The sequence below is a fragment of the Homo sapiens genome, chromosome 1, assembly GCF_000001405.40.
Source record: "Homo sapiens chromosome 1, GRCh38.p14 Primary Assembly".
In the NCBI taxonomy this organism is placed as follows: domain Eukaryota; kingdom Metazoa; phylum Chordata; class Mammalia; order Primates; family Hominidae; genus Homo; species Homo sapiens.
The window spans coordinates 3,940,101-3,953,058 of NC_000001.11; the positions used below are offsets into that span (position 1 = coordinate 3,940,101).

The 12,958-nt window shown below is 51.3% G+C and overlaps 2 long non-coding RNA genes across 2 annotated transcripts; one reads left to right on the top strand and one right to left on the bottom strand.

The window, feature by feature from the left end:
• The first annotated feature begins 511 nt into the window (after positions 1-511).
• LINC01346 (long intergenic non-protein coding RNA 1346) lies at positions 512-12,483 on the top strand. Its single transcript, NR_040065.1, has 3 exons — positions 512-598; positions 894-1,043; positions 12,153-12,483. It is a non-coding gene; the product is annotated as a long intergenic non-protein coding RNA 1346 (long non-coding RNA).
• Positions 7,049-8,880, bottom strand: LINC01345 (long intergenic non-protein coding RNA 1345). The gene is made up of 3 exons (NR_147024.1): positions 8,763-8,880; positions 7,857-8,495; positions 7,049-7,228 (listed from the first exon to the last, which is right to left on the bottom strand). It is a non-coding gene; the product is annotated as a long intergenic non-protein coding RNA 1345 (long non-coding RNA).
• Positions 12,484-12,958: the final 475 nt, after the last annotated feature.

Sequence of the window (12,958 nt, forward strand, 5' to 3'; positions counted from 1 at the left end):
TCTTGGGGAGGGGATCATGATCACTTCAGTTTAGAGATAAGGAAACAGGCGTAGAGAAGTTAAGAAACTTGCTCCAAGTCAAACAGCTGGTGAGCAACAGAGCCGGTGCTGACGCCTGTGTCCCTGGGACAGGCCATGTCCCTGGCAGCCCTAAACCAGGACACCCACCTGGCTGGGACAGGAAGGGCAGCGCCAGGTTCTGGGGTCTCCTCCATCCCCTCCCTCAGGACCTGCCTAGAGCAGCTGACTGAGAAATCCTCAGGAGGATGTGACGATGACTGATGCCTTCAAGCTCCCACTGGGCACACACAGGCAATTCCTCCATGAAAAGAGATGAATTCACAAAGGAGAAAGTGTATAAAATATTAAGAAGACATTAAGCTGAGGACACGTGAACCCCTGGGCAGCGAATGCAGGAGGCGGGGGCTGTGCCTCTGGACGCTGCAGCTGGGCTGGAGCCCTCTCCCTGCCACCATGGAAACAGCAATATCAGAAAGCACAGTCCTGGTTAGCGGCGTGCTCGTGCCATGTGCCTGTCAGTTCTGCAAGCATTTGTTGGATGTGAAGGTTGGTGTGATGACCACGCTGCCCACAACAGGTCAGTACATTCCCAGGACAGTCCTGAAAGGTGGGTTCTCTTTTTTCCATTATCCAAATAAGGTCAAGGACTCAGAGAAGCCACATAACCTAGCTAGGAGGAGGGTTCAAGCTGGGTCTCCCTGTCCCCAAGCCACACTCTGGACCCCCCCTCCTGACGCTGAATAACTGAGGTCTCCTTCTGGCCCCCTCCCCACCTCACTCTGCTCGGGACACGTGGCTGCATAGGGCTTCTATGCCCCAGAAACCAGGTGGCTCCTTTCCTCCTAGTCCCTCTCCTAATTGTTGTGTTGCAGGCAAAAGGGTGCGGACAGCTGAGGCTCCTCACTTCCCGCTCCAAAGCTCAGAACCTCCCTTCCCTCCTGGATCCAACAGAAGCAGCGGCCGCTGCTGCCTGTGCCTCTCAAACTTGTCACCCACGGATGCTGGGAAAAATGCACATAAAAGTAAGATTATGATATTTTTTGTAAATAAGTGATGCAGCAACTCAGATCTGATTTGGGCCGTCAGCCCAATCCAGCAGAGAGAGAGATGGCTGCAGAAGCATTTGCGTGTGTTCTCAGGGAACGTTTATTGTGGAAAGCTGGGCTCCGATAAAATTTTCATATAAATTATTCATTGTGGAATTCAGATGAAATGCCAAACACCCTCCCACTAAGGGACTGCCTTTTTTATTTTTATTTTTATTTTTTATTACTTCTGAAGAGAGAGTCTTAGCATCTAACGCCATCAGATGCTACTTAGTGGGGAGAAATGGATTGGTCTGCTGAGAGAGTACTGACCTTATGTGCGGGTCTCTGAGGATACCTGGCTTTTCTTAAAGGAGCCAGTGGACCACATGCCAACATCCTGCCCGGGACCTCTGATTTTCTGAGGGCCACTGGGAGGTGAGAGTCCCTGTCTCTCTTGCTGCCTGTACTTGAGAGGAAAGTGGGTGGCGCCTACAGCACAGCCCTCTGAAGCTCACAGGGCACCCTTTGGGCCCAATCCAGTGGGTCTGCTCTGGGAGAGAGTTGGGGCAGGTGCTATCTCTCTCTCTCTTTTTTTTTTTTTTTGAGACAGGGTGTCACTATCACCCAGCCTGGAGTACAGTGGCACTATCAGCTCACTGCAGCCTCCATCTCTGGGGCTCAAGTGATCCTCTCACCTCAGCCTCCCGAGCAGCTAGGACTACAGGCATGAGCCACCACGCCTGGCTAATTTATGTATTTTTTTTGTAGAGATAGGGTTTCACCATGTTGCCCAGGTTGGTCTCAAACTCCTGGGTTCAAGTGATCTGCCTGCCTCAACCTCCTGAAGTGCTGGGATTACGGGCGTGAGCCAACACGCCTGGCCTGTCTCTCTCTCTCTCTTTTTGAGATAGAGTCTTGCTCTATCACCCAGGCTGGAGTGCAGTGGCTCGATCTCAGCTCACTGCAACCTCCTGGGTTCAAACAATTCTCCTGCCTCAGCCTCCCAGGTAGCTGGGACTATAGAGTCATATGCCGCCATGCCCTGCTATTTTTTTTTTTTTTGTATTTTTAGTAGAGACAGGGTTTCAAGATGTTGGCCAGGCTAGTCTTGAACTCTTGACCTCAAATGATCCGCTGGCCTCAGCCTTCCAAAGTGCTGGGATTATGGGTGTGAGCCACTGTGCCTGGCCTTTTTTTTTTTTTTTTTTTTTTTTTTTTTTAATTAGAAGATGAAGGCTCAGAGATTGTTATGGGCTGAATTGTGTACCCCCTTACCAAATCCACATGCTGAAGTCCTTACCCCCAGAACCTGTGAGTGCGACCTTATTTGGGGATAGGGTCTTGACAGAATTAAGTTGACATGAAGTCATTCAGATGGGCCCTAATCTCATAGGACTGGTGTCCTTCTAAGAAGGGGAGGTTTGGAGACAGGCATGCGCAAGCACACACAGAGGCCATGTGACAGTGAAAAAAGCCATCTGGGAGTCAAGGGGAGAGGCCTCAGAAAGAACTAGCCCTGTCCACACCTTCATCTTGGACTTCTGGCCTCCGGGACGAGGAGAGAATAAGTTTCTGTTGTTGAAGCTGCCCAGTTTGTGGCTTCAGGAAACCAACAGAGATGGGGGCACTTTTCAAGATCTGCCTTAGTGGAGCGGGACTCACCGCCTTGGCCGTGCGATCCTGCCTGCTGGTGTTTTTCGGTTGGAGGAGGTGGGAGCTCACTTTGCCAAGTCACCCTGAGGCCCCCCGTGACGCCAGGACGCAATGAGAGCGAAGCTTAAACAGGAACTCTGCTACCGTCTTTATTTCTTCCCTTTGAAGAACCCTGGAAAGCTCTCTGTAAATATTTGCGAAGTTAATTTCACAACCCACAGATGAATACATGGATGAATGAGTGAGTGAGTGCCAAACACAGCGCTGTCCCGACACCTGCCCTGTGTGCTCAATGACCAGATGTGACTTCCTCTAGGGCCCTGAGCCAGCCATAGCTTCAAGTCACTCCTGTGCCCTGAGGGCAGGGGTGCCAAGGGGTGAGGTCCAGTGGGCTGCTACGCCCTCAGCGCGGGGGCCTCTCGGACTCAGCCTTCGGGAAGAGTTGAGGTCTGCCCTCCGAGGCAGTCACTGGTGGGAGAGGAGGGTGAGGAACACGCCGCCCAGAGCTGTAGCTGCCGGGCAGCCTGGGCTTCGCTTTTCCCTTCCAAGGCTTTCCCTGCATGGCGAAGTGGCTGGCTCTGTTCACATTCAGGCATGGCCCAGAACAGCTTCACATGCACCTCAGATGATCTTTTAGGGGTTTTTAAATTTTCATTTTTTAGCAGTAGTTATCATTTTCTTTTCCCATAGGGAGAAACAGGTGGTGCCTAAACAAACAAACAAAAAAACCCCAAAAAACCTCTGACATTTACTGGATTTCTGCTGAAAATATTGAACAGTTCACAAAGGGGCTTTTGATCCTGAGAACCTTTCAGATCTTTGGTGCTTTTGTGCTCACCGATTCCAGGCCAGGACACCAATGCTCCCACAGCCTTGAAGCCCAGCGGGAATGGGCCGGTCCAGGCTCAGCAGCCCCATGGCTCTCCCTCTCCTTTCTTCATTTTCCACCAGCTCAATGTCCCTTGCCTCGCCCCACTGCATCCATACACATGTGTTTTGGTTTTGATTGTTTGCTGACACTTTTTGTTAGCGGCTCATTGAAGATTTCCAGTCTGCAGTAAGGACTCAGCCATAGAACCTTCTGGAGTCCTTGCAGCCTGGCTGAACCACGAGCTGTCCCGTGTGCTGCCCATCCTACGTTCTGTCTGCAGGGAACGTTCTTTCCCTCCACACCCGCACGTCCCCGAGACCAGCCCGGTCCAGGCTTTGGGGTCTGCCTGGCTGTCTCCTTGTCCTCCGCTGCCCCGCCACTCCTGTCCCCAGCCTGGACCCAGACCACTGTGTCTTGGCCTTTGTCAGGCTCCGTCTATCCCCGCACCTCAGGGCCTGGTCCCTGAACCAGTGCCTGACTCTGAGGGTCCACTCTGGCCTCAGTGAGTGACAGGCTCTCAGATCGCCACGTAAATGAATCAACTTCTGGAAGAAATAATGACAACATGGGTGTTTAAAAACATTTGTTCATTCAGCGTCTACCCTATCTTTGGAATGATGCCTTTTTTTCCCTCTGAAAAGAGCAGCATTTGGGGAGAGAGCGGGCCCTCGCCGGCGGCATTGGCGGAACCCAGGATGGGAGCCTGCCATGCCAGACGCCAGACACCCCAGGGTTCCCGCACACCTGTTCCCGATTGCATGAAGCGGAGGGGCCTCCTCCTCCCTCTTTGTTTGTGTTTTCCCCCTCCCTCTGTCCCTCCCACATGCCCCCACCCTGAGTCGGGATCTGTGCCGCGGTATAGACTGCAGTGAGTTTTGACCTCCTCCTCGCCATCCTCCTTGTCTTTTATTTAAAAGGCAGCAGAAATGGGACTCTGGTCTCTCTCCCCGCCCCTCCCGCCAACAGCTGCACAGTGTGGAGTTCACTGTTCTGTGGCTCTGGGCCTTTGTGTCTGGGCGCCCGTAGTCCTGAGCCCTGCACGGTGGGGAGAGGTGAGGGCAGAGACAAGAGTGAGGTGATGGGACAGCCGCCTTGTCCTCAGCGTCCCTCCAGGAGCCCCTCAAGGTTGGAATGGCAGGCACCAGGTCCTTCCTGGAGCCTCTCGTCTCTGCTAGGCAGTGATGTGTTGTAACATGTTCCTGGAGCACTTCCTCACCGTCTGTCTCCCTAGCTGGATTATCACTCCACTCCGAGAGAGGGGTTCCAATTTGCAATTGTAAATTGTCTTTTTTCCCCCTTTTCACTCCACATGCAGGGACTCTGACAGCTTGAAGGGACTGTCGTGGTGTGCAGTGAGCATGGCTTGTTTTCCACACGGCACAAAACACATTCCCTCTGGAGTCCCTGGGGGGATGGGGACAGTCCCCAGGGGTGCTGGGTGGGCGGTGGAGGCCAGGTGAGTAGGAGGCTGCGAGGGAGGGAGGCAGACGCTAGACACACAGTCTTTCTCCAAGTTGACCTCGGGCTGATTCCTGGACTCGACCCTGGACTCCTCCAGAGAATCGAGAGCCCATCCTGATGAGCTCATGTGTGCAATGAGGTAAGAGCGGATGGCACCGGTGGCACCTGACCTCTCGCCTCTGTTCCTTTCCCGTGAAAGCCTTTACACCACAGGGCAAGGGCCAGAGGGCTTCCTTGCTACACAGCCGGGCCCTGTCACTTCCCCCACATGGCACCCTTCACTCTCCTCACCCTGCTGGGCCCTGCATAAGGCATGCTGCCCACCACCTGCTGCCCTCTCTGTCCCGGGGGACACCGACCTCCTCATCGTGCCTCGAACACACCAGGGCGCCTTTCATAGGCATCTGCCCCGCAGACAGCTTCACTGCTGAATTCTACCAAACATCTGAAGAGGAGTTAATATCAGATCTTCACAAACACCTCCAAAAGACGGGAGGAGAAAATGCTTCTCAGCGCCTTTTGAATCCAGTGATCCCTAGGTGCCAAAGCCGGACAAAGATACCACAGGACATGGAGCTGGCAGGCACAGCCTCTCCCAGGTCTCACCCTCCCAGGAGGCTCCCTCCCGCCGCTGACCAGGGCCTCAGCTTGAATGCCTGCCTGGGAGGTTTCCTGATTGTTCTAGCACCGGCTGCTCAGTGCCCCATCCCTCCCCCAGCCTTGCTCCCCTCCCTATGGGGTCCTGCTGGGCACATGTGCCTGGCCCACCTGTCCGACGCCACCCCCCTCTCTCTGTCCCTGGGCCGATGATCCCATCTGGTTGACGCTTTCTCTCGTGTTTGCATCGGCTGTACCCAGAGCGGCATCTGGTTGCCAGAGGGCACCTCTGCTTGCATGGCGTGTAGCAGAGATAATGGCTCCCAAGATCCTTGGCCATGGACCCTTGGCCATGGACTTGTCCCCTCATAGTCAGGGTGGGGTGGGCCTTGCCTCTGTTCCTGGAGCTGTCCCTCCCATGGCCTTCGATGGCACCCCTGCTTGGGTCTTCACCTCCCGCACCCTTGCATGGATACTTACCTCCTGCACCCCTGTGTGGATCCTCACCTCCTGCACCCCTGCGTGGGTCCTCACCTCCTGCGCCCCTGCGTGGGTCCTCACCTCCCGCACCCCTGTGTGAGTCCTCACCTCCTGCACCCCTGCAGAGTCGGCTGCATCAACAAGGTGCATGGATCTGGCATGTTGCTGGCTACAAAGCCCCTTTGGTGCCTCTTCTGCACCTTGTTGCAGGGTTGATCTGCACCGAGGTCAGCAAAATGCTTTTGGCTCCTCCTGTACAGAGAAGGAAATCGAGGCTGGCACATCCCAAGATGGAGATGGCGTTCACGACAGCCAGGGGCCAGGGGATGATGAGCTGGTTTGTCCCAAGAGAGGGTGAAGCTTGTGACATGTATGAAGCATGGGTGGGCAAGGTGGCACGCGGGCACCCAGTTCCAGTCCAGTTAATCCTCAGGGTTGAGCTCAGGACCAGCAGAGCCAGGGCCAGACCTGGTGCATGGACCTGCAGGCCTATAGGGCATCTAGTGAGGGGGTCCCCTTCAGGCGATACAGGGACCGTTCTCCAGGGGCCACTAGGAAATCTCAAACCCACAGTTGGGCCCAGGGCAGCAGCAATGTCGAGTTCAAGAATAATGTCCAGTGGGAGGCTGAGCTTTGTCTAAGGCCTGCAGAGGATCCCTGGGGATGCTGTGGGGTTTTCATAGGACCTGGAAGGAGTGTGGGATCTGGGAACTTGAAGCCCAAGGTACAGCCATTCAGCACCATAGGTGTGGCCCAATTTCTAGGGTAAAGATGACAGTTTGGCCTGGGAAACATAACCCTGCTTGCTCAATTTTGAGGTCCAGGGTGTTTTTTCACCAGCTCCGCTTCCCAGAAGGGCCCCGTTCCTTTTTGGGGTTTCCTAAAGGCATCAGGGCCTGTTTCTTAGACTTGAGATCCAAGGCAAAGGGGCCTTTGCTCACTTTAAAAAATTTCTTTTTTATTGGTGCATAATAGGTGTACAGACTTTCTGCATACATGTAATAATTTAATACATTAATATAATTTGTAAAGATCCAATCAGCGTAATTAAGGCATCCATCACCTTCAATACTGGTCTTTTCTTGATGCTGGAGACATTCAGATTATTCTTTTCTGGCTGTTTTGAAATGTACAATAGATTATTGTGAACTATAGTCACCCTGCTGCTCTAACACTAGGACTTATTTCTTCTATCCAACCGTATATTTGTACCCATCAATCACCCTGTCTTCATCCCCCCACTCCCTTCCCCTTCCCGGTCTCTGGTACCCACAATCTACTGTCTACCCCCGTGAGATCCACCTTTTAGCTCCCCTGTGTGAGTGAGAACATGCCGTATTTGCTCTGCTTTGCTCATTTCACTTAACATGGTGGCCTCCAGCTCCTCCATGTTGCTGACTTTCAGGACCTCATTCTATGGTAGCTCCATCCACTCCCCCCAAAAAAATCCTCTGCCGTCCTTATGTGCCCTGAGAAGACTGTTTCCCAAATAATGCTACGGTCCCCCTTCTTCCCCCTGCCCCAGGGCCTGAGTCCACTCCCGCACACCAGCTCCCACCTGCTCCCAGCCTCCCCCTCCCATCTGCGCCGGCTGGGTTTTGGCTTTAATTTCAGCAAACACAGGCAATTCTTCTTCCCACTGGGGATGAGAACTTGCAGAAATACCACAGCGAAGGCAGCCTCCTCGGCTCCTACCAGCCAAGGAAAAGCAAAAATCCATAGGCGCTGCGCAGGGTGTGATTTACCTCCCGAGAAGTGCACATTCCCTCCACCCGGCATCGTCATCATCGTGTTGATCTCCTTCTGGAGCGTCCACAGCGCTCCCGACAATGCGAGTCTTCCCCAAATGGCATCTCTTTCATAAAGCGAGACACAGGTCCTGCAGTCCAGGGAGGAGGCAGAGGGGAGTGCTCGGCTCCACACCTGGGCCGTGGGACCGGTGTGAGTTCAGGTAAAGCCACACGGATGGAGAAACCACTTCATACACTCAGTGAAAGCAGTGTTCCTGATGAGTTTGAGTCAGCGCCGGGAAATTAGGGTCAGAGTCAACTGCAGCAAATCAACAGCCTCTCTGCCCCTCAGTCTTCTCCTCCGCAGAGTGGGCTGGAAGGTCAGTGCTTGCTGGAACTGTCATCTCTGTGCTCAATGGTGATTGCAGTGACTGGCGTGAACAGCCTTCAAACGGGTCCTTGGCAGGGGTGGGAAAGTGGAGGGGGGCACGCCGTCACACAGGCTCCTTATTAGGGATTTCTTTCCCTTTCTGACCTTAGAAGGATGCCAGAGATCTGGAGCTTTGGCGGTGGATGGACCTGGGTGTGAGTCATGGCTCAGCCATTTGCCAGCTGTGCAAACTCAGACAAGCTGCTTAAGCCGCGTCACACTTTCTGTAAAGGGAAGGTAGATGGGGGATCAGATATCGTACAGGGTGCATGGCCCTTAGGAGTGTCTGGTCCATAGTGAGGGCCCCGTGCATGGAAGACATAGCAACCAGGATGTGTGCTTTCTCTGAGCAGTGGCTTTGCTCTGTGGTGTCCACAGCTTGTACACTAATTTTGAGGACCTGGAGCTGGTTTTGAGGACCCTCCCTAGCAAGTACTTAGGAGTCTGCCACACACAGGTTGAGCATGGATTCATCTCTGGCTTCAACTCACAGCTTTCCCGCTGCTTTCCTTAGGCCGGTGGTTGACGTGGTCTCCATGAGCTGTGTGCATCCTCCAGTGACAGGACAAGATTTGTGCCCCCACAGGAAGGTCCCCAGCCTCCCCCCACCTGCCCTCTGAAAATCTTCCTTGATTTCCTTTCATCCGTCCCTCAGGGGTCCTGTCTTTGTGATGTCAGCGTGAAGTGGAATTCGCAGAATGGCTAAAGTGGAGGGAAGACTTAAAATGCATTGGATGATGATAGCAGCGTCATTTACAATCACCACGACTTGGAAGCAGCCGAGATGTCCTTTGGCAGATGATTGGAGAAATGAACTGTGGCACGTCCATGCAGACCATGAAATACTATTCAGTGCTAAAAATGAGTGAGCTTTCCATCCATGAAAAGACATAGAGAAACCTGAAATGCAGATCACAAAGTGAAAGGCCAATCTGGAAAGGCTACACACCCTATGACTCCAACCTGTGACATTCCCAAAGAGGGATTTTTCCAAAGAGGAAAAATTATGGGGACAGTAAAAAGAGGAGCTGCCATCATTAGGGAAGCAGGAGTTGAGGAGAGTCAGAGTGACACCACTGAAAAATCTTCTCTGTCTTGAGACTAACAAGGTACCTTCCTTGCCAGTCACAACCCATGGTCCTAAGATGGTCACAGCTAAGGAGGCAGCTTGGTACTGCCTGCAAGGACAAACTCCTAAAACAACAGAAAGCCCAGATGTCCCAATACCCATAGCAATATGTGCTTTCAAGATAATTATAGATGTGCTTTGATGTACTCATGTACTAGACTGTTAAGGATAGTTTTCTTTAAATCAGTAGCATAATCAATTTTGTCATGCTGTCTGCTCCCCCTCACAGAGTCGCAGCTTGGTTTAGTCATTACGTAGACAAGACCCCTATATAAGAAAAACTTAAAACAAAGACGGTGCATTCTCTCGGAAGGTCCCGTGCTCTGTAATGGAGTAGGTTTTAATAAACGTGCTTCCTTCGCTGCACCTTGTGACTCGCCTTGAATTCCTTCATGCGTGAGATCCAGAAACCCTCTCTTGGGGTCTGGATCAAGACCCCTTTTCTGGTAACACCATGGGTTGGGGAGAGGGAGGGGTGAATAGGTGAAGCACAGGACTTTTTTTGGGGCAGTGAAACTCCTCTGTATCATACTGTCACAGTGGGTCCATGTCATTAAACATTTGTCTAAACTCATAGACTGTACAACACCAACGGTGAGCCCTAATGTGGACTATGGACTTGGGGTGATTGATATGGTTTGACCGTGTCCCCACCCAAATCTCATCTTGAATTTCCATGTGTTCGGGGAGGGACCCAGTGGAAGGTAATTGAATCATGGGGCAGGTCTTTCCTATGCTGTTCTCCTGACAGTGAATAAGTCTCATGAGATATGATGGTTTCATAAACAGGAGTTTCCCTGCACATGCTCTCTTCTCTTGTCTGCCACCATGATTATGAAGCCTCCCCAGCCACGTGGAACCATAAGTCCAAAAAGCCTCTTCTGTAAATTGCCCAGTCTCAGATATGTCTTTATCAGCAGCGTGAAAATGGACTAATACAGTGATAATGACATGTTAATGCAGGTTCATCAGTTGTAATAAATGTACTATTTGGTGGGGGATATTAATAGTTGGGGAGGCTGTGTGTGTGGGGGTGGGACAGAGAGTACATGTGAACTCTCTGTACCTTCTGTTGGATTTTGCTGTGAGCCTAAAACCGCTCTAAAACCATATAAAGTCCATCTACAAAAGTATCTGAGAGGCTAAATCTATCTCTATAAGAAATATGAGGAAAGAAGTAGCAGGGGAGATGCAAAAGGGGAATGGGGTGGGGGTATTAGAGAGGATTTCTGGAATTTGCCCTGTGAGAGGCTCTGAGACAGATATAGGAGGAAGAGAATTAGGGAAGGGAGAAAAGAAGTATGGCTGTGGGCTATAAATTAGATCCACGCTGAGGCAGGAGGATTGCTTCAGGCCAGGAGTTTGAGACTAGCCTGGGCAACATAGCAAGACCTTATCTCTATCAAAAAAAAAAAATAATAAAAAACAGGGCATGGTGGCACATGCCTGTAGTCCCAGCTACAAGAGGCTGAGCAGGGAGGATTGCTTGCACCCAGGAGGTCAAGGCTGCAGTGAGCCGAGATCCTGCCACTGCACTCCAGCCTGGGCCACAGAGTGAGACTGTCTCAAAAAAAAAAAAGTTAGATCCATGATCATTTTCCTGAAGAGATTCGAGGACAGCTTAGTGCTACCTTTGATGCTGTATTCTACTTTTTTTTTTTTTTTTTTTTTTGAGATGGAGTCTCGCTCCGTCGCTCAGGCTGGAGTGCAGTGGCATGATTGCAAGCTCCGCCTCTCGGGTTCACGCCATTCTCCTGCCTCGGCCTCCTGAGTAGCTGGGACTACAGGCGCCTGCCACCACGCCTGGCTAATTTTTTGTATTTTTAGTAGAGACAGGGTTTCACCATGTTAGCCAGGATGGCCTCGATCTCCTGACCTCATGATCCGCCTGCCTCGGCCTCCCAAGGTGCTGGAATTACAGGTGAGAGCCACTTCGCCTGGCCTATTCTTCTTTGAATTTAATTTCTCATTGAGACTGGACCACATGGGATCCTAGCTTACATCTGGGTTACATTTGTAGATTAAGTTTAACCCATTTATGCCTAGTGTTCCATTATTGGAACGCTAAGCTTGTGGGAATAATTTATATCTGGCTGCTCAAGGTCACCCACAAGGTCTGATTTTTCACAAAAAATATTTGCTTCTGGACAAGACAGAATTAGGATGAAAATGAAGAGATTACGTGAACTGGAGAACCCCTTCTAACTTGAAAATACCTGTAGTGACCACAGTCTGACTTCTCCCTCCTCACATGAACCTTTTGGGGCATTCGATGAAGGAGCAGTCACTCCCTTCCTTCCCCAGTGGGGAACAGCAACAGATTCTGGCAGGTGAGTCTGCTGCAGAAGAGACAAGTTCTTATTTCAGCTGCGTGGAGCTGTGTCTGGGGCAGGTCGTTGACTTTGTCTCCTTAGGGTAAACAGCAGAACATGGATGGTGTTTGATGCCCGCATGAGTGAATGTACTCTTATTTTTACACAGTTATTTTTGACCATAAATTGCTGGATCTGCTGTAGAGCTCTCTGCAGTCATGACACACAGCTATTGATCCACCAAAGATCTATGCTCTCCATCCAAGCTGTAGGGATGTAATTGGGAACTGGCATTTCAGGTGGGGATCACATTTCCAGCCTCTATTATGTCTAGTAGGGCCATGTGACTGAGTTATGGATAAGAAATGTGGGCGGAAGTGTTGTGTGCCCCTTCCAGGCCTCACTTCTAAGGTGTTTCCTTCTCTCCCTTCCCCAACTAGTGACTGGATGGAGATGACCCAGGAAGGGGCCCTGTTGCCCAGGAAATGGGCTTGTCCTGAACCACAGCTTGAAGGAGAGCCACCGACTGATCAGGAATACCCAACTGGACTTTATTCCAGCAACATACAAAGCATTACTGTGCTGGGCCATGGTATATTATTGGGTTTCTTTTATTAGAACACTTGGCATTACCTTCACTAATATACACTCATCATAGTAGACATTTTCACTAGTTATAGATGATATGCACTATTTTCCCTTCTGAAACAGAAATTTGCAGCAGCACTGCCAAAGGACAATAGATTTTTAAAAATCATAGAATGACTGGAGTTCATGTCTCTGCAAAGAACATCTAAGCCCTAAGCCATCCAGAGTGGATGAGGCATCTCTGCATGAGTTAAATTACACACTCCAGCTGCTGTAACCAAGAAGGAGTTTCACAGTGGTCAAAACGTCGTAGAAGTTTAGTTCTCATGCATGTAACAGTCCAAACGCAGCTCCACAGTGGCAAGGAGCCAGCGTCCTTTCTCTTGCTGTCCTGCTGTGCTCAAGAGGTGGCTTCTGTCTTTGAGTCCAACGTGGCTGCTCTGGCCCCAGCCATCATTTCTATACTCCAGCAGGTGGCAAGTGGGAAGAAGAAAGGGAGAGCTTATGCCTTTCATTTTAGGGACACATGGCCTAGTGCTGCTCACATCACCCTGCTCACCTTGTGTTGGGACCAGAGTCTAGTCACATGGCAGCAAATAGCTGTGAGGAATATTGGGAAAGGTTGTCTTTGGCTACTTGGCCTCATGACCATCGGAAA